Source organism: Homo sapiens, chromosome 1 (genome assembly GCF_000001405.40).
Source record: "Homo sapiens chromosome 1, GRCh38.p14 Primary Assembly".
NCBI classification, from domain to species: domain Eukaryota; kingdom Metazoa; phylum Chordata; class Mammalia; order Primates; family Hominidae; genus Homo; species Homo sapiens.
The window spans coordinates 237556490-237582688 of NC_000001.11; the positions used below are offsets into that span (position 1 = coordinate 237556490).

Below are 26199 nucleotides of genomic sequence, written 5' to 3' on the forward strand. Positions count from 1 at the left end.
TAGTAGAGGCGGGGTTTCACCATATTGGCCAGGCTGGTCTTGAACTCCTGATGTTGTGATCCACCCACCTTGGCCTCCCAAAGTGCTGGGATTACAGGCATGAGCCACTGCACCTGGCCACTCTATTTTATTTTAACACATAGATATGGAACACCTACTGTGCCTAGTTCTGGGAATTCAAAGATGAATAAGAGTTTTTGTCTTATGTAGCTCTCAGTGTAGACAGGGAAAATAGACTAAATTGCTACCACTACCATACAATGAAAGTGTTAAGCTGAAGAGTCATAACACAGGGGGTTTAAATCAGCTTGGTGATATGAGGGAAATCTTTAAAGAGGAGGTATATTAGTTATCTATTCCTGTACAGCAAACTACCCCTTTCCCTCCCACCAAAAAAAAAAAAAAAAAAAAAAAAAAAAACCCTCTCAGTGGCTAAAAATAACAAAATTTGTTATCTCAAAGTTTCTGTGGGTTATGAATGTGAGTGATAGGTGGTTCTGGATCATAGTCTCTCTGAGATTGCTATTAAGTTGGCCAGGGCTTAAGTCATCTGAAGACTTCACTGGAGCTGGAGCACTGGATACTAAGACAGCTCACTTGCATAACTGTTGGCTAAAGAACTCGCTTCCTCTCTGGCTGTTGGCAGAAGACACAGCCAGATGGGTACAGCCTTGCCACACAGAGCTCTTCATAGAGATGCTCGAGTGCCTTCACATGGAAGCTGACTTCCCCCAGAATGAAAAATCGAAGAGTGAGTACAAGGATGCTGTAATGCTTGTTACAATTACTTCTATTATATTCTGTTTGTTAGAAGTGAACCACTAAATGAAGCCCACACTTTTTGAATGGAGGTGTACTCAAGTATTTGTGGACATATTTTAAAACCACCAAAGTAGGTACAGCTAAGTCAATCGGGTTCATGCATTTCAGGCAGAGAGAATAGTATATGTAAAGGCTTAGAGACACAAGGAGGATTGCAAATGGGAATTTCAGAGAGCTTTGTACGACCAGATGTAGAGTGGAGTTTGAAAAGTGGCAGTAGATCAAATAGAGGAGGCAGGAGTTGAAACAGTTTTTTTTTTTTTTTAAATTAAAGAATGATTCTAGTGGCTCTTTAGGAAAAAGGCTGAATGTAAACAAAACTGGAGATGAGGACAGCAGTTTGGTGACAAAAAAGAAGTATAGATGAGGAGTGTTGGAGACCTTGTCTTTGGCAATACTGTGAACAGAAAAAATTATTTGGCATTTAGAAGTAGAATCAGCAGAAGGACAAAGGAGGCATCTGAGATAGTTTCTGGATTGATAGATGTCAAGTACATACACACTGGTTGGGAACACAGGAATTGGAGCAGATGGACATGGGGTAGTGGGAAGATTCTGAGTTTTATTGTAAACATCTTCAGTTTGAGGTGCATGTGAGACAACTCAACACATATACCAGGATTCAATTACATATATAAGTACAAACGTGAGACTATTGCTAGAGAGAAACAGAGGGTTAAAAATTTAATTTTTTAAATGAAAGAAATGTGGACATTTTTACACTAAGGGAGAGAGAGAGGTTGAAAGTACAGTAAGAGGAGCTTGATGAGCTGTGGTCTCTGAGAAGGTTGAAGGGAATGAAATTCAGAGCATGGGTAAAGGGATTGGCCTCCTGTAAAAGGAACAACAACACTTATTCCCCTAAGGTTAGTAGGAAAGAAGTAAAGATTGAAGACGCTGCAAAAACCTGTGTACAGGGAAAATCAGGAGGAAGCTGAGGGCAGTCTACTGTATAATTATTGTCTTCAGGTTGAAATAGAAAATGAGTTTATTTTCCTAAGGAGTAGAAGTTAGGGCAGGCTGGACTGGATTAGAAGCCTTGAAGAGAGCAGTAAAGATGTGTTGGGTATAGAATTCTCAGCTGACAATTATTTTTTCTTTTAGTACTCAGATATATCATCCCGCTGCCTTCTGGCCTTTATGTTTTCTGATAAGGCATTGACATTAATCTTTTGGAGGGTCCCTTGTATGTGATGAGTTGCTTCTCTCTTGCTGTTTTCAGGATTCTCTCTCTGTTTTTGGATTTGAACAGTTTGATTATGATGTGTCTAGTTTTAATTTCTTTGAGTTTATCCCCAAAGTTTACTGTACTTCTTAGATGTGTAAATGAATGTTTTTCATCAAATTTGGGAAGCTTCTGGCCATTATTTATTCATTCTTTCTTCTCTTTTCTGTCTCTCCTTACAGTCTGTGATTTCCATTATGTGTATGTTGGTATGGTTGAGTGTATCCCCCAGGCCTCTGAAGCTCTGCTTGTCTTTCTTCATTTCTTCTTCAGTTTTTCATACTTGACTAACGGACTTATCTTCAAGTTCATTGATTCTTGTCAGTGCAAATCTGTTGTTGAGCCCTCTGATGTATGTTTAATTTCAGGTACTGTGCTTATCAACTCCAGAAATTTTTATTCTTTTTTATAATTTACCTCTTTATTGATATTCACTATTTGGTGAAGCATCATTTTTGTACTTTTTTTTTTTTTTGAGATGGAGTTTTGCTCTTGTTGCCCAGGCTGGAGTGCAATGGCGTGATCTCGGCTCACTGCAACCTTCACCTCCCAGGTTCAAGTGACTGTCCTGCCTCAGCCTCCCAAGTAGCTGGGATAATAAGAATACTGGCAAAAAATTATGCAAATCAAATTTTTCATAGTTCTGGAAATTAACTAAAGGCTGGCCAAAATCCAGGGAGTGTTTATTTGATTAAAATGTCCAAATGTTGCTAAGAACAGCAACTAGTGATGTTTTAACTTGCTCCTGCCCCATCACCCTCTCTCTAATTCTATGGCATATTGAAAACCAACGGCCCCTCAATCATAGTGAAAATCAGCCACCCACAAGCCGCTGGAGTGGGCAGAACAGAGTTGGACCACCACCATGCCTGGCTAATTTTGTATTTTTAGTAGATATGGGGTTTCACTGTGTTGATCAGGCTGGTCTCGAACTCCTGACCTCAGGTGATCCACCTGCCTCGGCCTCCCAAAGTGCTAGGATTACAGGCATGAGACGCTGTGCCCAGCCTCATACTTTTATTTAGTTCATTACACATGGTTTTATTTAGTTCTTTGAACAGATTTAAAATACCTAACTTAAAGTCTTTGTCTAATAAGCCCAACATCTCGGCCTCCTGAGGAATAATTTCTATTGACTGCTTTTTACCCCTTTATGTATGGGACATACTGTCTTGTCTTTTTGCATGTCTCACAATTTTTGTGAAAAATTGAACATTTAAAGTAATGTAATTTGGTAACTCTGTATTCGCCCCTATTTCAGATTTTGTTGTTGTGCTTATTGTCATTGTTGTTTGCTTTCTTGGTAATTTTTCTAAACTAGTTTAGTAGAGACTGTGTTGCCTGTCATGTGTGGCCACTGAAGTCTCAGTTTCATTAGCTTCATGGTCAGCTGATGGTAGGACAGAGACTTCTTTAAATGCCTAGGACTGATAAGTCTCCCAGTCTTTACCAAAGGAGAGGCAATGTAATGTGAGCATATTGGCACATGCCTTCAACACTCAACCAGGCAATTTATAATTTCACATTAGCCTTCTCTTACTGCATGTGCAGAGCCTCAAGGTCTTTCAGAGGTGTAAGCTTTCTCAGGTTTTTCCTGAATACATGCACAGCCCTGGGCATGAGCATGGCCTTCTAGAGTCCCAGGAATATGTTGGAGCTTCTCACATCCCACTATGGATATTTCACTCCCCAGCTTTTCCTTTCAAACTTTTTGGTCAGTTGCTGTTTGCCTCAGCTGTTATTGCTGCCTCACAAAGCTGCAAGGCTAACAAATTGCCTCAGATGATTTTCAACAAATGTCCTTGGAGAAACAACTATTTGCACTGGGCAAGCTCTAAGTCAAGTGGAATAAAGACAAGTCTTACCGATGGAATTTTCCAGAAAAGGGAACATAATGACAGTTATCTGGGAACTGGGCTTTGGAGGAACTCCAGCTCTGTTCTGCCCACTACAAGGGCTTATGGGTGGCTGATTTTCACTATGATTGAGGGTCCTTTGGTTTTCAATATGCTGTGGAATTAGAGAGAGGGTGATGCAGCAGGAGCAAATTAAAACATCACTAGTTTGCTGTTCTTACCAACATTTGGACATTTTTATCAAATAAACACTCCCTGGCTTTTGCCAGCCTTTAGTTAATTTCCAGAGCTATGAAAAATTTCATTTGCATAGTTTTTTGCCAGTGTTCTCATTAATTCTGTGGAGAAGAGGATTTTTGGAGATTCTTTCTCTACCATTTCTACTGATGTCACTCAGCAATAAAGATTAAAAATTGCTGTTTTGTGGGATGGAACAGAGAGCAGACTGCAAACAGATAAAAACATTGTGGAGAAACATTGATGGTCCCGTTGAGGTTAGAGACTCTGAGTTAGTGGTGCCAATCTGTTCGGTGCATGTGTTTTCTGGCGAACTCAGCAGAGCAGGTATAGATGTTGAGAGTGAAGGTAGTGAAATTGGACAGTAATTGGGGTTAAGAGAGCAAGTAGGGGAAAAGCTAATAAGGGCAAGAAAGTATGGAAAGTTATATAGGGAAGGGAAGAATGAAGGAATCTAATGAGTTTGAAGAGTGAGTGTATAAGAAAATGAGAAAACAGGGAGAAAAAATGGTGATCACACAATCTCTGTATTTTAAGAATTTAGAGATAGAGCCACTGACAGTTGTTTGACAAGGTTTGATTTTACCGAAGTTATGTGAACAGTGAGCAATGAGAATAGAGTGGCATATTCTACAGTAGAAGCTGAGATTATGTTTAGTGTTTACTATGTGCCAGGATATAACAGCATGCTTCATAGTAGGGATGCAAGTGATCTGTATGGAAAAGACATAAGAAGAAAGATTAATTTTCCAATGGGAGGAATCAGTAAAGGGAGAAATATCTTCAGAGTTAGATGTTGAAAGGATCAGGAATCAGTAAAGGGAGAAAATGTCTTCAGAATTAGATGTTGAAAGGATCAAAATTTCAACAAGTAGAGATTAGTGTCAGAAAGGCCATCGCTACTAGAAAGAAAGTACATCTGATGTGATTAAGTGTAGAAAGAGTTGAGGAAGGGTAGATGGTCCACTTAGGATAAAATATAGGGTACAGATGGGCAGAGAGAACAGACATAGATGAAGGTAGAAAGATTAGGGCAAAATATGGAATATCTTGCAAACTCAGCTAAGAAATGTGGATAAATTTGTATAAGGAGTACCAGCCCCAGGAAGTTTTAAAGCAAGAGCTTGATGTGTGATCACAGTTTACAATAGCAATATAACTACGGCAACAGTGGGAAGGGACAGATTGGAGGGGGCAGTGCTTGGAGGTAGACCAGTTGGGAGGCTTTAGAAAAATTGTTTTTTTGAACAAGGATGGTGGGAATAAAAATTAAAAGATAGATGTTGAGAGATTTTATAGCATAAAGCAAAATCAGTCTGATTATCACTAAGAGGAGATTCAAAACATTCATTTATAATAGTCTATACTGCTGTTGCTGACATTTAAAAAAAAGTCAAGGGCATAAAAAGTTTAATAAAATTGAATCAAGCCTTATGTAATTAATCAGAATTATAATTTATTTTCTCTTAGGAGAATGCTTACATATTCCAGATAAAACATGAACTCTGTATTTGAGTTGTAGTATCTTTGGAGTACTGTTGTCAATAATATTTTAAAGCATTTGAAAATGGAATTTATTCTTATTTACTACAAGGTTTAATCAAGATTTGAATTGTTTTATCCAAAATAATACCAGAAGGTTGAAAGGATGGCTGATTAATACCAATAATTTTAAAAAGTATTATCATTAGACCTAAAAGATTCTAGATATGTATAAAATTTTAGCTTTTCCTTATAGCTTCTTGTAACTTAAGATTTTAATGTATAGTTAGATCTTGACTGCCCTCTAGTGGCATATATTTTCTTAGCTATATTGTTTGGAGAGCAGAGTGTATGGTTACTTTAGGCCTTTTTAGGCCCTAGTTAGGTGATTGGTGGTGTGTCATGCCTGGGAGGTACGGGGAGCACAGTCTTTGCTCAGTCCTTGGCCTTAATCTTGAGGTAGTTCATTAATAATATAATTCCTGAATTGTTTCTGCTTTGAATACCAACAGACTTGATAATGTATGACAGGAATATGTCTCCCAACTATTCATTTTTAAATGTCCATTATTATTATATTCATTATAACAGTATAAAAATCACTTATATAACATACTTACATGAGTTATAATTGCCTATCAAACACATAAATATATCGTGTTTAAAATCGAGCAAAGCATAAGGATGTTCGGGGGAGAGTTCTGTGCCTTTGACAGGATGCTACCCATTAGCTATTTGTCTGGGCTGCTATATCCGGAGCCCGGAAGAGTCTTCGTTTCTAGATACAGTTTGGCAGGTATATATGGAGCACTTACTTTGTGGCTCAGGTGCTTGATACTACAAGGTATGCAAAATAAGTTTGTTACGGATTGCTTGGATCTTTTTAAAAAACTCCTACAAACCCAGATTTCACTTTGTATTAGTATTTTAGCAAGAGGTATAATGTTGAACTGTTGCTTCTTTAAAACGTAGTTGCAAACTACCCTAAACTAACTTAATAAATATATACTATGGGGCAGGGCACAGTGGCTCACACCTGTAATCCCAGCACTTTGGGAGGCTGAGGCTGGTGGATCACCTGAGGCTCGAAGTTCGAGACCAGCGTGACAATGGTGAAACCCCGTCTCTACTGAAAATACAAAAAAATTAGCTGGGCTTGGATGGTGGCACATGCCTGTAACCCCAGCTACTCAGGAAGCCGAGGCAGGGGAATTGCTTGAACCCAGGAGGCGGAAGTTGCAATGAGCTGAGATGGTGCCATCGCACTCCAGCCTGGGCAACAAGAGCAAAACTCCATCTCAAAAAAAAAAAAACACAAACAAATAGGAAAATCCACAGAGATTAAAAAAGAAAAAGAAGAGTCCTTTTTTTTTTGTGAAGTCCCTTGCATGATAGTATCTGTGAACCACATGTTTGTTTCAAATTCAGGTTAAGTATCATCAATGAGCATAAGAATAGCATAGCATTAGGGCCAGGAAGAAGAATATTAGGACTCAGAAACTCTGCATTGTTTCTACTGCAATATATTCTCCATGTAGTACCCCCTATTTTCATTCCCTATAGTAATAAAGGGGATTAGTGGTATGTTTTAATTCCAAGAGAATTGTGTAGGGGGCTTTTGGGGAAATTATTACATTTTTATACCGAATTTGCCTTCTAAAATATTTGATTTGTGCTAATATTAAAATTAGTTTGCATTACTTGAGTGCACTATACATATTTGTGAAGTCTTGATATATTAGAAACCAAACACAGAAAAGAGAACCTGGTATTTTTCAGTAGTTTAGTTTTCCAAAAAAACTGTAGTATAGTTTTCATGGTATATAATGACTATAGTATATACTAATTCTATATTTAGAAAATTAGGAGTTACATCTATTAATGCATACTAGAATGTAATGTAATATTTTATTTGCAAATATCAACATAATTAAAAATAAGGATAACTACCTGATCATTTTTTCTTCCCTGAAAATAATCTCCAAATTTTTGTGTAATTTATAGCTCATATTTATCTCTTAGATTCATTTAGGGAAGATTACAGGCATGTTTTAAGGAAACAATTTATCGGTAATCTGTTTTTTGAGGAAATACTAACTCTGAGTAAAAATTTGACTTTCCTGTTTGTTTAGTATTGCAGCACTGAGAACGAGTTTCTTTCTTTCTTTCTTTTTTTAAACACAGAGTCTTGCTCTGTTGCCCAGGCTAGAGTGTAGTGGCATGGTATCGGCTCACTGCATCCTCTGCTTCCCGGGCTCAAGCAGTTCTCCTGCTCAGCCTCCCAAGTAGCTGGGATTACAGGCATATGCCACCAGGCCCTGATGATTTTTGTATTTTTTGTAGAGATGGGATTTCACCATGTTGGCCAGACTGGTCTCGAATTCCTGACCTCAAGTGATTTGCCTGCCTCAGCCTCCCACAGTGTTGGGATAACAGGTGTGAGCCACCGCGACCCGCCAAGAACTAGTTTCTTAATAGCACAAACTACCTTTAAATATCATAAAATCTGATAGAATTTTTTTCTCTCAAAACAACGTTTACGATCCTATTTTTCAAAATATATTTACTTACCAAGTAATAGGCATGAGAATTTACCCTTAACCATAGAAATGTTTCTCTGATTCAGAGACTTAAGCTAGTTTCTGAAGGGTTAGCCAGCAGATTCAGTTAGTTCTACATTCAGTAAGCACTACCACCATTATCAAAAAAGCAGTTATTGATCGTTTCATTAATTAAGCCCATGTGATAGGGAGCCATCTCATGCTACAGCCATGGTGTCTCCACTGCTTTACTTCATCTCATTTTAAATTGTTACATATGACCTAGCTGTATGTTTATTGGCAACCTTTAGTGCTTATATAGATTATTTTTATAGTTCTAATTTGATCATACCAAGTCATTGATTGAACTGTTATTAAATTTTTATTATGCATAAAGTCTTTCCCAAATCTTAAGGAGAAACAAATAGGAACTTCCTTCTTCTCTTTTCTTTTCTTTCTTTCTTTTTCTTTCTTTCTTTCTTTCTTTCTTTTTCTTTCTTTCTTTCTCTTTCTTTCTTTCTTTCTTTCTTTCTTTCTTTCTTTCTTTCTTTCTTTCTTTCTTTCTTTCTTTCTTTTGTCTTTCTTTCTTTCTCTCTCTCTCTTTCTTTCTCTTTGTTTGTTTGTTTTGTTTTGAGACAGGATCTCACTCTATCACCCAGGCTGGAATGCAGTAGAACGACCATAGCTCACTGCAACCTCGACCTTCTAGGCTCAAGTGATCCTTCTGTATCAGCCTCTTGAGAAGCTTGGACTTACAGGCATGCACTACCATGTCTGGCTGAATTTTTAAACTCTTTGTAGAGACAGGGTACCACTATGTTGCCCGGGCGCGATCCTCCCGCCTTGGCCTTCCAAAGTGTTGAGACTACAGCTGTGAGCCACCACACCTGGCTGAAAACTAGCATTTAACCAGTAACTAGTAACTCTGTGCGAGCTATTGGAGGCAAAGTAGGAAGAAGAGGGGCTATAACATGAAGCAGCTCCCAAGTTCCACCATTTTTAGTTGTGCGATGTTGGTCAAGTCTGAAATTTCCTCCTCTGCATCTAACTCAGATGTTAGCTGGGTGACCACCTTCTTTGAGATATCAATTCAATGAACACTCATTCCTCTCCTCTGTGGTTTCAGAAGGACTTACCTTCTCATCGTCGTTCTGGCTCTGGGTTCCTCATTCTGAGACTTCCCCCTCTCGTCTCTCTCAATCTCACCTGCATCTCATTTCCTAGGGATACTTTTCCCCCTTTTGCATCACACTGGTCCTAATGTTGGATGCTGACCTTTTTATTTTTCCCCCAGATCTTTTAAATACAGCATTTGTATGTATAGCAGATCACAGTGAAGATGTATGCGAGAATGGAAAAATTTTGCATCACATTTGAGTTCCTTAGCCATCACCATCCTGTAGGGAAATTTTTACTATTGATGCTATTGTTACTTTTCTCCACTGTTTACAACTTTCCCTTATTTCTGTTTCTCTTCTCTTCCTTGCTTCGTCTTCCCTCTTCTCTCTCACCCGTACATGTCTACTCATTTCTTATGCAGAGCAGTTCGGATCTTTTTTCTTATTGACTTCTTTCCATCTCATCCTCCACAACCAAAGCACCAAGGCACTTGGGTTTTGTTCTACAGAAAGGTCGTTCCCTCCTGAAAATGAGGCTGACGGAGACTCATTCCCCAGTCTCTCCAGCGCAAGCCCTGGTGCTTTCCACTTCACCCAGCTGGTCTGACAGTGGCTGATCCTAGATCAGAAAGCACTTGGTAAAATGGGAAAGAAGATAAGAAGGTATCATTATCATCATCGCTCTAGGTTGAATTACTAAAGTCGTGATTTATCTTTCCTTCTTTTATTTATGATATCTTTCCTTCTCTTTCACCTCCCCATCCAATGACCACCAGAAATCTCTGTCCATTTCCCAGCAGCCAGAGCCGAAGTGTGCAGCGGCACCGGGGAAAGGTTCCGAATCTTCCGTGCCGAGAAGACCTATGCAGTGAAGGCCGGACGGTGGTATTTTGAATTTGAGACGGTCACTGCTGGAGACATGAGGGTTGGTTGGAGTCGTCCTGGTTGTCAACCGGATCAGGAGCTTGGCTCAGATGAACGTGCCTTTGCCTTTGATGGCTTCAAGGTGAGTGGACTTTGTCCTGTGCCAGTCATCTGTACGTGCTGGAGGCTCATCTCCTCTGCTGTTCCTCTTGGTAGCTTCACAGTACCAGTGTTTCCCACAGCACAAACGTGGAAAAATATTTCACAGGAAAGCTTTTGTCCTCGTAGTCTCAAAACCCTTCCCTACAACCCATGAATGCAGTGAAATTCACCAAGTAAGACATTGCTTTTCCATGGTTATCAAAAAGATAAATCATCTTTGTCTATCAAAATGTTAAAGATACATATGTAGAGGAAAAATGCATATACATTGACGCAGCGATTCCGTATCAGGAGTTTATCTTTAAGCTATAATTAGTGGTTTGTATGAACATTTAATAGCTACAATGCTTAATGTAGTGTTGTTTATAATCACAAACGGTTTTCATTTTCAACATTATTGGTAATTTCTATTAAGTTGGATGGAAGCTGGTCAGGTGTTTATTTTGTTATTTATATACTAATAAATGTTTAAAGATTCTTTTACATGTGTAAAATATTTTGATCAGTAATATGGGCGAGGTGCCTGTAATCCCAGCACTTTGAGAGGCTGAGATGGAGGGATCACTTGGGGCTAGGAGTGCAAGACCAGCCTGGGCAACAAAGTAAGATCCTGTCTCTACAAAAAAAAAAAAAAAAAAATTAAAATTAGCCAAGCATGGTGGTGTGCACTTGTGGTCCCAGCTACATACGAGGCTGAGGTGAGAGGATTGCTTGAGCTCGGGAGGTCGAGGCTGCAATGAGCCATGATCACACCACTGCACTCCAGCCTGGGCAACAGAGTGAGACCTTGTCTCAAAACAAACAAAAAAATAATAATAACAACAAGGTATATATGCTTATAGCCACAATAGGATAATAATAGTCACTTTTGATTGGTAAAATCATAGATTTTTTTAAAGTCTTCTTTTTTTTTTATTTTTTAAGTGAATTTATTTTCCTTTTCACATGAGGGGGAAAAAGCTACTTTTTAACCAAGAAAAATAAAATTAGAATAAATAAGCAATCATGAAGAGATTTGACGTTTGGATATTTCTTGGAGTGAAATGTCCTGTGTAGGAAAGCATTTCTAGGCTTGAAATTAGGGCAGTTGACCCACTTAGTTTTGAAACATCACATTTCCTGAATCCAGTTTTTTAAAAATTTCAAATAGAAAAATTTAACACTTTTTTGGGGGGTTGGGGGGCGGTCAAAATTAGCAAACTTTAAACTTCAAAAAATAAAATAACAGATAAAAGGCAGCTTTAGGTTTATACCTCCTGAAGATCAGATGTAATGAACCAGAGTGGGAAGTAACCTGAGGAAGTTAAAATAACCTTTACTCCCAGTCAAATGATAGGCAAGAAAGGATACTCCCGATTTGGGAACAGGCATGGGGTGGGTGGGGTAGGAAGGAGAACACCACAGCCAGGTAAGTCGGTTGGGCATTTTATGCCTTTTGATACCTGATGTAAACTTTTTTAAAAAGACAGTGTGTTATATTAAGAAGAATTATGTCATTGCTTTGCATTGGCGACTCTGTCTGGTAACGTACCGATTCACAATGAAGGTGAGGTTTAAGAAAAAGTCAAAAGATTTATCTGAAAAAAAAATTCACATAACTCAGGTGTGCTTATGAATCAACGGAATATACTTGTAGATGCAAAAGTCACGTTTATCAAAACTATGTTTCAAATGTACTTACAATATGAGATTTCACTTTATGTATATATATAAAAAGGTTGGCATCTATATTCAATTTTTGGCTTGTTACTTCAGCAGATATCCTAAGGATATTTTTAGGTTTGATTTGAAGCTTTTTTACTTTTAGTATGTAACTGAAATGCTTCTAGATTTCCATTTTGTTAAAGTATCTGTGCCATCGGTTCTAAGGAATGAAATTTCATTTTGAAATAGATGAAAATTACACTATCATTTTCAATGACAGATGCCCAGCTTGATTCCCTAGCTCATAATTATTTGTATTTGTGGGAGTAGAGAAAAACAAACCGTATTCTGGGAAACATTCATTGTCGCAGAAAAATGATATATTCTAAAGGCATATAAGTTTTCTTTCAGTAGAAAGTATGTGAGGTTCGATTTTTAAAATAATAAGCTCTCAAAATCATGACATAGATTTTGGATTTTTTTCCCAAGATTCGATAATATACCATGTTAATATTAGGTAGGGATTTAGAATTCCCAGACAGCTCCATTTTGCTTAGGACATTGCAGTAGACCGATATGCCAGCTGGAGTTTCTCCTACTGTTGTGTTGATAGAAGGGACTGCTGTTAGGTCGTGACAGAGTGGTGGGTGGGTGCGATTTTCCTGGCTTAGTCTGTGACAAGGGACTTTTCTGTCCTCTGTATAGGCCCAGCGGTGGCATCAGGGCAATGAACACTATGGGCGCTCTTGGCAAGCAGGCGATGTCGTGGGGTGTATGGTTGACATGAACGAACACACCATGATGTTCACACTGAATGGTGAAATCCTTCTTGATGATTCAGGCTCAGAACTGGCTTTCAAGGACTTTGATGTTGGCGATGGTAAGTCTACTATGTTTTGTGTTTTTTTTAAGTTTGCAGCACAAGGAAGCTTTCATCCTGAGGCTTCCTAACCGGGCGTTTCTGTTTCAGGGTGAGTGAGCAGATGAGTTGCAGCTGTAAATCGTGAGGGTGCCTTGTGACTGACTTGATCAGATGCCCTTGAAATAACATTATTAGAAATGCTATCTATACGACTTAGCTAGGATTTCTAGAAGGCTGAAATGGCTTTTATGAGTATGAATAAGAAAATAAATAGCAGATAAAAGAATAGGTTTCCATCATTGTTAAATTTTCATTTAGAACTTCCCTGCTTCATCAGCTGCCTAGAGCCTCTTTCTGTTTATTCATCTCATAAAAGTGAAATGAGGACCCACAATGGATCAGGTACTTTGCTGGATGCTGAGGTGACAAAGATGAATGAAACACTGTCCTATCTTTGTATAGATTACAGATTACCTGCCAGGGGAGGTTGACACTTGTACAGTTTCTGTTTAGTGGCTAAGTTCTAAGACAGAAAAATGCAGAAAGCTCTGTGGAAGCACCATGCAGGGAGCACGTGCTGCTGCCTGTGGGGCCCCGAGATGGCCTTTGAGCAGAGTTGTAAAGATGGAGGGTGGGCCGGGTTCAGTGGCTCAAGCCTGTAATCCCAGCACTTTGGGAGGCCGAGGTGGATGGATCACAAGGTCAGGAGTTCGAGACCAGCCTGACCAACATAGTGAAACCCCATGTCTACTAAAAAATACAAAAAATTAGCTGGGCATGGTGGCATGCACCTGTAATCCCAGCTATTTGAGAGGCTGAGGCAGGAGAATTGCTCGAACCCAGGAGGCAGAGGTTGCAGTGAGCAGAGATCACGCCATGGCACTCCAGCCTGGGCAACAGTGCAAGACTGCATCTCAAAAAAAAAAAAAAAGATGGAAGGTGTTGGTGAAGCAAGGAAGACATTTACTCTTCAGACATGCACTCCCAATTTGGTGGCCTTGGCCACACAGGGCTGTTTATATTTAAGTTAGTTTGAATTTTTTTTTTTTTTTTTGAGTCAGAGTTTTGCTCTTGTCGCCCGGGCTGGAGTTCAGTGGCGCAATCTCAGCTCACTACAACCTCTGCCTCCTGGATTCAAGTGATTCTCCTGCCTCAGCTTCCCAAGTAGCTGGGATTACAGGTGCTTACCACCATGCCCAGCTAATTTTTGTATTTTTAGTAGAGACGGGGTTTCACCTTGTTGGCCAGGCTGGTCTCGAATTGCTGACCTCAGGTGATCCACCCACCTCAGTCCTCCAAAGTGCTGAGATTACAGGCCTGAGCCACCATGCCCGGCCTAAATTTTAAAAAGTTAAGAATTGAGTTTCTTAGTCACATTGGCCACCATTTAAAGGGCTCAATTCCCTCAGGTGGTTAGGGATGCCCCTGCTGGACAGTGCAGGTAGCGAATATTTCTCTCATCACAGAAAGTTCTATTGGATAGTGTTACTCTAGAGCATATAAACAAGACAGTATCTGATACAAATTATATAATTATCTTATTTCAGCCAGGCATGGTGATTCATGCCTGTAATCCCAGCACTTTGGGAAGCTAAGGCGGAGGATAGCTGAGCCCAGGAGTTTGCGACCAGCCTGGGCAACATAGCAAGACTCTGTTTCTACAAAAATTAAAAAAATTAGCCAGTTGTGGTGGCATGTTCCTGTAGCTCCAGCTGCTCAGGTGGCTGAGGTGGGAGGATCACTCGAGTCCAGGGAGGTCGAGACTGCAGTGAGCTGTGATTGTGCCACTGTACTCCAGCCTGGGTGACAGAGTGAGACCTTGTCTCAAAATAATAATAATAACCTTATTTCAAAGATAAGCCAACACTTCTTTTCAAAATGGCTTTTGAATATATCCTGTTATATGTTTGCATATGGATTTGCATATAAAAATGTATATATATTTGCATATATATAGTCTTGGATTTTAAGATACATACCTACCTCAACCAGTATTTCTTTTTCTTTTCTTTTCTTTTTTTTTTTTTTTTAAGACAGAGTTTCACTCTTGTTGCCCAGGCTGGAGTGCAATGGCGCGATCTTGACTCACTGCAACCTCCGCCTCCCAGGTTCAAGCAATTCTCCTGCCTCAGCCTCCCAAGTAGCTGGGATTACAGGGGTGTGCCAACACGCCTCGCTAATTTTTGTATTTTTAGTAGAGACGGGGTTTTATCATGTTGGTGAGGCTGGTCTCGAACTCCTGACCTCAGGTGATCCACCCGCCTCGGCCTCCCAAAGTGCTGGGAATATAGGCGTGAGCCACTGCACCAGGCCTATTTCTAATAGTCTATATAAATTTGTCACTGATCTTCAAAATGTTAGCCAGTTTGTTGCTTGTATGAAGTTTTATATTCATTCATTTAGCTAGCTTTTGAGCAGGTATGAACATCATTTCCCTAACACAGATTTGCAAAGATAATAGGAATTTTACATTTGTGTAACTCAATATCTATGTTTAAAATTTTTAATTTTTACTTTTTGGAGATACATGGTAAGTCTAATATGTATGAGGTACATGAGAAGTTTTGATACAGGCATGCAATGGGTAGTAATTGCATCATGGAAAATGGGGTATCCATCCCCTCAAGCATTAATCCTTTGTGTTACAAACAATCCAATTATACTTCTAGTTATTTTAAAATGTATGATTGAATTACTACTGACCATAGTCACCCTGTTGTGCTATCAAATATTAGGTCTTATTCATTTTTTCTAACTATTTTTATACCCTTAATATCTATTTTGAACACTTATCTCCGGGTGGTGAAATTAGTGCTCTAACCCTCCCCTACCTGTCTCCCTTTCTCTGATATTGGTTTTAGGGATGTCAAAGTATTAGTGGGAAGGTAGGAGGAAGGCTTTTTATTGGTGTTATCTATCTGTCTACACTGGCTGCTACTATGGATGTGACTTAGGTTTCATTTTTTTAATTGGCTTTTTAAAAAATACTTGACTGCTGTGCTTCCTTTCTTTGGATGTTAAAAAAAATTTAAATGCATGTGTGAGTTCTGTTTGTATGGTACGTGGTTCACATGATACACACAGATTTGCAGAATGCTCATCCGTACTATTTAAGCACGTAACAAATGTTCATGGTACCACACAGTCACATAGACCAATCACCATTGCAATAATGAGATAGACTCTGAAGTGTGTCACCGTGGCACATGGTTTTGAACAATTTTGGCTTTTGACTTTGTATTTCATAGAATTTTTAAAATTTAAAAACTGACTTGAACTTTGTATTGGTATCTCTATCATAGAGTTAACACAGGATTTTGATGAATTGTCTGAAATTTTGTGGTTGAGGTTGCTGGGCTTTTATTAGAGGTTTTGGGAGGACCTGCGTTTTGGTCTTCAAGGCAGGTTATAAGCTTTATGTAGCAATAATCATTAAGTAGTAACTTTGTAGGGGTCAGTCATGAATCTAAATTTTCTACTATAGAAAGGCTTTCAGAGTTTATCCATGCCTATGATTTTTGAATGCTTTTTGGTACTGGAATATCTCTTCCCCATCCCTCCTCTCCCAAATTGACTTTATATAGCTTCCCAAAAAAGCTCCTTAATTTACCTGTCACTACTGGGAGCTAGCATTGAGGTAGCTAGAGCTCAAAGGATCCAGTTTGAAAAACTATTTATTTAGGGTTTTCTAGCACAGAAACATACTATGGTTGCTAAAGTACTAAAATGGATTTATAAGTGGTCTATTTTAAATTTTTCTTACACCTAGCCTGTCTTTATGTCTGTATCATGTTCGATTTGCCATTTTTAACTATCTTCATAATCTCTTCTTATTGCTACAGAGAAAGCTCAGTCATTTATACACTGACTATTAAAGTATGTGGTAAGATGGATAAATGTAGAAATTATTATCTATGGAGATATACACATACACACACACACACACACACACACACGCATACATATGTATATGTGTGTATGCGCACACATACACACAGACACATGCTGTAGATCCCTGTCTGGTCAGCTTAGTAGACAACATGGCCAAGTATATTTTGACCTTTCTATCTATTGCATAGTTTATACAACTGAAATGATTTGCTGACCAGTATAAGTTGTTTCTATATACCGTCAAAAAGAAAATCACAAACATCTTTGAAAGACTGATATGGCCATCCAGTTAAATCCAGGGGGGAGCTATGGCTATCCCAGTTCTGGAAGAGGATAGGGTTGTTCTATAAAGGTACTGCTAGGAACAACCCTATCCTCTTCCAGAACTAGATGGCGGATCACAAGATCAGGAGATCAAGACCATCCTGGCTAACACGGTGAAACCCTGTCTCTACTAAAAATACAAAAAATTAGCCCAGCGTGGTGGCGGGCACTTGTAGTTCCAGCTACTCGGGAGGCTGAGGCAGGAGAATTGCTTGAACCTGGGAGGTGGAGGTTGCAGTGAGCTGAGATCACGCCACCTCACTCCAGCCTGGTGACAGAGGAGTGAGACTCCGTCTGAAAAAAAATGAAAATAAAAAGATGCTGTTAGGTCTCTTCTAAGGGGCTGCAGACCTCTTCCTCAAATAGGGACTGCAGCAGCCCTCAGGAAACTCATCTGTTAACTGGATAAAAACCAAATGACAGAAACACTGGTCTCTGGTAGAAGGAGCAAGGCTCTCATTCCCTCAACTCCTCCTCAAAACCACGCTTACATGGTCAAGATCAAGAGCATTGTTGAACTAGAGTGAAATTCCACTAGAATTTCAGGGTTTAAAGGCCGCATTGTCTATGTGGCAGATCCTCTGTTAGGATTCTCCCTTCTCTTTGGCTTTTTAAAAATCTCTTCAGAGTATCTTTGGGGAAGGCAAAAGGATTCCTTCAATCATCACTTTTAAAAGACCCCTTGGACTGTAATGTCACAAAGGAATAGTGAGGGGCATGTGTGGAAGCAGTTTTTAGATGAGCTTAAGTTTTTCCATGAATTCTTGTCTCTTCTCACCATTGGACTGATAACCATTCAAAATCAGGATTGGGGAAGCCCAGGGAAAGAGGTTGCAGTGTTCACTCTTATGGACAGAATCCCAAGATTGCTTCTAGGAATCTTTCTCTGTGGTGTTCACACCATTTTATATAACCCTCTCCTCTTGAGTGTCAGCAGAACTTGTGAATATGATGGGATATCACTCATGATTAGGTCACTAAATCAGTTTACTTTGAGTTAGTCAAATAGAGATTATACAGGTGGGCCTGACCCAACCAGATGAGCCCTTAGGGATTGGGTCCTTCCTGAAGTCAGAGAGATACAAAATATGAGATAAATTTTCCTGCTGGACTTGAAGAAGCAGACTGCTGTGGTATGGAGAGAGCAACATGATGGTAACCTGCAGGCTGCTTCTGAGAACTGAGAACAGCCCCAAGTTCATAGCTGGCAAAAAAACAAACAAAAACCGAGAAATCTCAGTTCTACAGCCCAAGGAACCAAATTCCATCAATAACCAGGGAGCTTGGAAGATGACTCCAACCCTCAGATGAGAATGTAGCCCACGTTACCATCTTGATTATATCCTTGTGAAACCCTGAGCAGAGAACCCAGCCCTACCATGCTGGACCTCTGACCTACAGAACTATGAGATAAGAAATGAGTATTGCTTTAAATGGCTAAGTTTGTGGTAGTGTGTTCCATAGCAATAGAAAACCGGTATGTTGATCAAGGGGCTTTCTTAGGTTCAACCGAACCTTCAGACTCACAAGACTATCAAAGACCACCCATGACACCAGTCTGTTTAGAGAGAGAACAGGAATCATGGCTTGCCAGCAGGGCAGTCCCAAGGATTCCTCTTCCAACAGGAGTGTTTTTAGATGTACGTATAATTCTCTGAGTTCATACGCGGTTACCTCATCAGAAGCCATTTTTATTATAAGCCATGCTGCCTAATAACTTAGTTGACACTTCAGCTTTTACCCACAGAGGTATAGTAGCTAATCAAGCTGTGATACTCCTCCATACCAAGAACCTAGGAGGAGCTCTCCTGACACATCTATGGTCTACTGCATTTTACCAAAACCAGAGATTATTCCACATCATGTTTTGGGACCAAGGCTTTTTATATTAAAGCCATGATTTTTATATGGAGCATCCCTTTATGTACACATTCCTCAAGAGCCTAGTGGAGGTGATCCTCATCACATTAGTTGGGGGACAAGAACAAGGGTAATAGAGGCCTGAGATCTCTCTTCTTTCCCCCCACCCCCGGCGTACCTATATAAATTTCCATCCATCTTACCACATAATTATTTTCATTACTAGCCAATGTAACAATAAGAAGGAATTATGAAGATGGCAAAACATGCCATATCAAGCATGACACAGACACAGAGACAGGGTAGTTATATGAGAAATGTAATTACAGAGCACTTATAAAACCTTTCAGTACTTTAGCAACCACAACTTATTGCTGTGCTAAAAGATTTTTTCTAAATTGTTTTTCAAACTTGTAATATGACAAGAAAAAGAAATTGGAGATGATAAGAATTGGAGTAAAAGGGACGAATTTATCATCATTCGAAGACAATATAAGTATTTACAGAGAAAACCCTAAAGAATCTATACACATTACTAGGAACAATTGGAGTGTTTCACAAGGTAGAATTTCTATTCTAGCAGCAGTTAAGAAAAGTAAATTAAAGATACCATTTACAGTAGCATCAGAGACTAGCAGTAGCTAGGTATCTCTCTAACAGAAGGTATATAATACCTTTACTGAGAAAATTATTAAAACTTATTGAGAGATGGTTGACTTTATTAAAAGACTTATTACCAAATAAATGAGAGGTGTGTTATGTTCATGGAGAAGACAAAAGCCTGAAGATATTAATTCTTCCAAAAGTGATCTATAGCTTCAATCCGTCGATCAGACTTTTCAAATAAAAATCCCAACAAGTGTTTTTATGGAAGTCGATGTGATGACTCTAAAATGTATATGGAATTGTAAAGGGCTAAAATATCTTCTGTCTAAAAGCAGTGAGGGGATGCATGTCCTACCAGATAGCAGGATTTATTGTGAAGCTATAGTCATTAAAATAGAGTGGTATTGTTGTAGGGATAGACAAATTGACAAATGGCATAAAGTAGAGATGCCAGAAACATAGAACTGATATAGAAACAGATGCCATAGAACATGATGAGGTAGTGTGTCAGTATGTTGGAGAAAAGAGGCCTGTGACAAATGGGGATCTGTAGTGAAAATATGAGATGGTCACTTCTTCACACCCTATATGATAACGAACTCCAAATGGTCTTAAATGTCAACAGCAAAACTTTGAAACCACTGGTGGAGTATATAGACAAATTTAAGAACATTCATTTAAAAAAATGAATGTTCTGCTTCCTTAAAGGAAGCAGAAAAACAGTCAGGTATTAATGGGGAGAAGCTATTCACAATGTGTACAACTGAAAAAAATGTTAGTGCTAAGAAAATATAATTTCTGAAATCAAGCAAAATGATGAAAAGGTATGAACAGGTATTTCATAGAAGCAACAACTCAGAGGGACAATAAACGTGTGAAGAGATGTTCAGTATTATTGATCAGGGAAATGCAAATTCATAATTAAATGCTATTTTACATCCATTCTGTTGGCAAACATTTGTAAAGACCTGACAATACTCAGCATTGGAGAGCAGTACACCCATAGAACCTCTTTTACGTTGCTCTTAGGAGCTCAAATTGGTCTCTCCACTTTGGAAAACTGTGTGACAGGATCTCTGAAAATGGAATATTCACATACCCATGACCCAGAAATTCTACTCCAGTTTTTTAGCTACACTAGTGTGTCTCAACAGCAGGAGATATGTACAAGAATGGTTGTAGGAGCACTATTCACAATTGCCAAAGCCAGGATACAACTGAAAGCACACAGGATGGATGAATTAACTGGAAACTACGGTAATAAATGACAACATGGATATTTAAGGGAAAGAAGTCCCAAAAGATAACTATGGTAGGCCGAATAATGTCCTCCAAAGATGTTGATTGATGGCCTACTCTTGGAAATCTGTGAATATGTTACTTTACATAGCAAAAGAGATTTTGTTGATGTGATTAAGATAGTGATCTTGAAATGAGGAGATTAATTAACCTGGATTATCTGGGAAGCCAATGTCATCACAAGGATCCTTATAAGAAGGAAGTAGGAGTGTGTGTTTCTGTGTGTGTGTGTGTGTGTGTGTGTGTGTGTGTGTGCGTGTGTGTGTGTTTGAGAGAGAGAGAGAGAAAGAGAGAGATCGATCTGGGAGTCAGGGAAAGCCAGAGACCTCTAGAAATGACAGGAAAGTCAGGAAGTGGGTTCACTGCAGGGCCTCCAGAAGGAACTCAGCCCTGTTGAGCAATAGGTTGGTAGATACTTAAGAGTATTTTTAAAAGAACCAACTAAATAAATAAAAACAGGTGATGATGAGAGTGTGTCACAAACAAAAGTTTATCAGTAATCCACGGTCCACTTCTGTGTATTTTGAAATTCTTCTTTTGAGACAGAGTCTTACTCTGTCACCCAGGCTGGAGTGCAGTGGCACGATCTCAGCTCACTGCAACCTCTACCTCCCGGGTTCAAGCAATTCTCCTCCCTCAACCTCCCAAGTAACTTGGATTCCAGGCACATGCCACCATGCCTGGCTAATTTTTGTATTTTTAATAGAGACGGGGTTTCACCATGTTAGCCAGGCTGGTGGCTGGTCTTGAGCTCCTGACCTAAGGTGATCTGCCTGCTGTGGCCTCCCAAAGTGCTGGGATTACAGGCGTGAGCCACCACACCTGTTCTGAAATTCCTAAAGAAGAAACAGGATTGTGTCTGTAGAGCTTTTGGGACTGATCTAGTAAGAAGAGGAGAAATTGATGATAAAGGTATAAGTATGAGAGGAGATAATTACTCATGTTCCTGATAAGGTGAAGGGGGGTGTGATCTCAAGCACAAGTGGATGAAATGAGACAATTTTTTCATTTTAGCACAGAAAAAAAAATGGCTCAGGTACAGGTCATAGTAGTATCCTCTCTTTTATGAGCAGGGTGCTTTGTATGTGTAGGGGAACTCCCCAAGCAAAATGAACGGCTTTGAATGAATGGCTTCTCTGTATTTCTTTATCTTCTCCAACTCCCTAGTGTTTGATTGCCTCATATCCTACATAGTCCTTTGGTGCTTCCCATTGCCGCCTTCTCTGGAAGCCTATTTCCAAAGGGAAGTCTCCCTTCCATCTTCTAACATAAGCCTACACAAGAGAATTTCTTTCAAAAGATTTCTGAACTAGAGTTGATGCAATGCCCCTTTTGGAGGTATTATTTTTTTGGAGACTTATTTTGCAATGCCTCTTTTGGGGGTAATTTTGGAGATTTGTTAAGGTCTCTCACCCATTCTGCAGTTTTGATAAGGTGGTGGGAGTGGGGGCATGTACGCTCCCTCAGTGTCTCTCGCCCATTCTGCAGTTTTGATAAGGTGGTGGGAGTGGGGGCATGTACGCTCCCTCAGTGTCTCTTCCTGCCTGCATCTTTGGGATAAGTCTGTGACCTCTGGGAACAGAAGAGTCCTGCAGTGAATGGCTTAAGATGGTCCTGGCCACATGGAGAAATGGTCTCTTCCTTGATGACCTCTTGGGTTGGGTTTATCTCTCCCTGTTCTTTTGTACCATTAGAATAGTAACATCTTAAGGACTGAGAATCAGATATCAGCTTAGAGGGAAAAAAAAAGAAACAAAACACAACTAAGAAGGCCAACCAGTGCCTTTCATTCTAAGTCTCTGGAGAAACAGAAGCAAATCTTCTAGTTCATTTATGATCTAAGCCCAGCTCACCAATTTAAAAAATCAGAACTTGAGTCCCAAATACCAGCTAATAATAAATTGTACTTTTTCTTTGCCTTGTGCTCTCTTCCTTGCCACGTGAGGATAATTTACTTCTTCTTCTTCTTTTTTTTTTTTTTTTTTTTTTTTTGAGACAGAGTTTCACTCTTGTTGCCCAGGCTGGACTGCAGTGGCGTGATCTTGGCTCACTGCAACCCCCGCCTCCTGAGTTCAAGCGATTCTCCTGTCTCAGCCTCCAGAGTAGCTGGGATTACAGGCATGCGCCACCATGCCCGGCTAATTTTGTATTTTTAGTACAGACAGGGTTTCACCATTTGGTGAGGCTGGTCTCGAACTCCTGACCTCAGGTGATCCACCTGCCTCGGCCTCCCAAAGTGCTGGGATTACAGGCGTGAGCTGCTGCACTGGGGGAAAATTTACTTCTTAAAGCACACTCATAGGGCAAATTTCCATGGGTCAAAAAACTATTATTAATTTAATAGGAAAAAAGTGCATTCTTGAGCTCCTATATTAAACCTAATTTGTATTAAAATTATACTAAATCTCCCTAAAATGAAGTCAGTAATTAATTAACATGTCATATGCTCACCTAAATGTATTCCCTTCTTCACTTGTTCTTCAGTTTGGTTGTTAACCTGTTCTACCAAAGCTTGTTCTTAACTATCACATAGTATAAACTCCAGATTCCCTTACAGAATATATCATACCGAATATGTACATAATTCAAACTTCAGTGTAAGGAAAGCAAAACAAAACCAGCAACAATAAAGTTGGAAAAAAACAATAAAGACAAAGGAATGTCAGTGAAGAAACGCAGATGATATCTGATTTACCCAGCATATTGACGGCATAGGGAAAACCATGCACAGAGTCTTCTCTGATGTGAAGCGTGTGCTTGTCTGCTGAAAGAACTTAGGCGCTATGGGCTAATTCTTACGACTGTGAGGAAGACTGCACATCTCACTCTGCTTCTGCTTGGCTCCTCCAGAGCCACGTGAAATCACAACAATTCTTTTTTTTTTTTTTTTTGAGACGGAGTTTTGCTCTCGTTGCCCAGGCTTGAGTGCAATGGTGTGATCGCAGCTCACTGGAACCTCCACCTCCCAGGTTCAAGGGATTCTCCTGCTTCAACCTCCTGAGTAGCTGGGATTACAGGCACACACCACGACGCCTGGCTAATTTTTTGTATTTTTTGTAGAGATGGGGTTTTACCATGTTGGCCAGGCTGGTCTCAAACTCCTGACCTCAGATGATCCGCCTGCCTCAGCCTCCAAAGGTGTTGGGATTACAGGCGTGAGCCACTGCGCCAGGCCCCAACAATGCTTTAAAAAAAAAAAAAATGAAGAAATGCCTTAAGGGGTAATGAAATGAATTTCCCATAAAGTAGAATTCAAATTCTTCTAATGAGGGATGATTTCCGGGTTCCTTGGGGCTCCACACACATGGCTTTGGTGGACATGTGTCTGCTGGCAGATACAGCGTTCTGAATACAAACCGTGTCTCCATTCTACCTGTTATGGACTGAGTTGCATAGCTCTAACCCTCAATGTGGCTGTATTTAGAGATGGGGCCTTTAAAGGGGTAATTCAGGTTAAATGAGGTAATAGTGTGGGGCCTTAATCCAGTATGGCTGGTGTCCTCATAAGAAGAGGAGAAGACACCAGGGTTGACTGTGCTCAGAGAAAAGACCATGTGAGGATACAGCCAGAAGGCTGCCATCTACACACCATGGAGAGAGACCTCAGGAGAAACGAAGCCTGCTGACACCTTAATCTTGGCCTTCCAGCCTCCAGACTGTGAGATCACACATTTCTGTGGTTTAAGTCACTCAGTCTGTGATCATTTCTTATGGCAGTCTGAGCTGACCAATACACCACCCCTTCTACTCTTGCATCCCCTACTAAGCTAGTACTATTCTCAATTTATTCTTACGGGAACAGCCTTATATTATCAGTAGTTTGAAGAGCTAACCATATCCTTAATTAAAAATAAGTGAGAGAGTCACTTAAAATCTTGATGTATAGTTTATGGTAAAAGAACGGTTATTTATGTTTGGAGATTACCACATTCTACAGTGTCTGCTGTGGATACGTATCTTGTGTTGTCCATTTCAAGCTTCTCAGCTATTCTGCAAGTAAAGATCATCTCAGAGGCCCATGATGGTTATAATCAAATCCAGAAACAATACTTTTGAGTCTGTATTTGCCACCTGAAAGGAGTGTGAGTAAAATTGAATTCCTGGTCCTCTCAGAACTCATGGAATTCCTTTCCTCGGGAGAAAACCAGATTATTTTTGTAATTAAAATAGCTGTATAGCTGTAGACAGAAAAGAAAATAAAAAAGAGAGGCAGGGAAAACTTTCCATTATTGATTTTATCATGCTGCTGTTTTAGAAAAAAAAAAGAAGCCAGGATATAGAACTACTAGTTTGTTCCTACAGTATGCTTTGTACCCTCAGTTGAAATATTGCAGCAGTTAGATTATTTGATGGAAATGGGTGGCTTATTCAGAAGTCTGGTTTTCAACATGGTGTGAATTAAGGTTAGTAGGTCTGTACCATCCCCAAACCCACCTGCCTGGCTTTACCATAACAGCTGAAGTTCCTGTCACCAGCATCCTCTGTGCAACCTGCTATCATGATACAGACCTGGGAGAGTAACTTATTATTGGGAATCTCCTTAATTAAAAATCAACACTTGTCAGAGGAAGGAAGAAATCAGGACTGTGAGGCCAACTTCTATAGCAGAGGAATCCAAGTACAACCCAATTCTGAAATGATTCTTGTGTGGCCTTGGGCAAATAGCCTGTTTTCATTTCCTTAAAATAAAAACACAAATTAGAGATGATCTCTTCTTGTCTAGTTCAGTTCTAAGATTCCAGAAATCAAAGGCAAGTGTTTTTCTGTTTGTTTGTGTTTTACCTTCCCTCTCAGAGTTCTTTATTTTTTATTTTTATTTTATTTTTATTTTATTTTTTGAGACAGAGTGTTGCTCTTGTTGCCCAGGCTGGAGTGCAGTGGCATGAGCTCAGCTCACTGCAACCTTCACCTCCTGGGTTCAAGCGATTCTCCTGCTTCAGCTTCCTGAGTAGCTGGGATTACAGGCACTGGCCACCACACCCAGATAATTTTTTTTTTTTGTATTTTTAGTAGAGATGGAGTTTCACCACAATGGCCAGGCTGGTCTCAAACTCCTAACCTCAGATGATCTGCCCACCTTGGCCTCCCAAAATGTTGGGATTGCAGGAGTGAGCCATTGTGCCTGGCTAGCATTCTTTAAAAAAAAAAAAAAAAATCAACTTTGATTTTAGATTCAGAAGCTATATGTTCAGGTTTGTTGCCTGGGTATATAGTGTTATGCTGAGGTTTGTAGTACAATTGATACTTTCACCCAAATACTGAATATGGCACCCAATAATTTTGCAACCCTTGTCCCCCCACCACAGTTGTCCCCAGTTTCTGTTTTTGCCATCCATCTTTATGTCCATGAGTACCCAGTGTTCAGCTCTCACTTGTAAGTGAGAATACACAGTGTTTGGCTTTCTGT

The 26199-nt window shown here is 39.7% G+C and overlaps 1 protein-coding gene across 18 annotated transcripts in view; it reads left to right on the top strand.

Annotated features, from left to right (window-relative positions):
- RYR2 (ryanodine receptor 2) overlaps positions 1-26199 on the top strand; it is a 791805-nt gene that overhangs the window by 514306 nt on the left and 251300 nt on the right. For 15 of the 18 annotated variants that reach the window (XR_007062490.1, XR_002957299.2, XM_006711802.4 and 12 more), the window contains 2 exons: positions 10078-10286; positions 12656-12830. Coding sequence is in view for 16 of the 18 variants with exons in the window: in XM_006711802.4 (XP_006711865.1) it covers positions 10078-10286; positions 12656-12830 (384 nt within the window). In the remaining 2 variants the exon portion in view is untranslated. The remainder of the gene's footprint in view (positions 1-10077; positions 10287-12655; positions 12831-26199) is intronic. The other 3 variants (XM_006711803.4, XM_047427317.1, XM_006711810.4) reach the window with 1 other exon arrangement.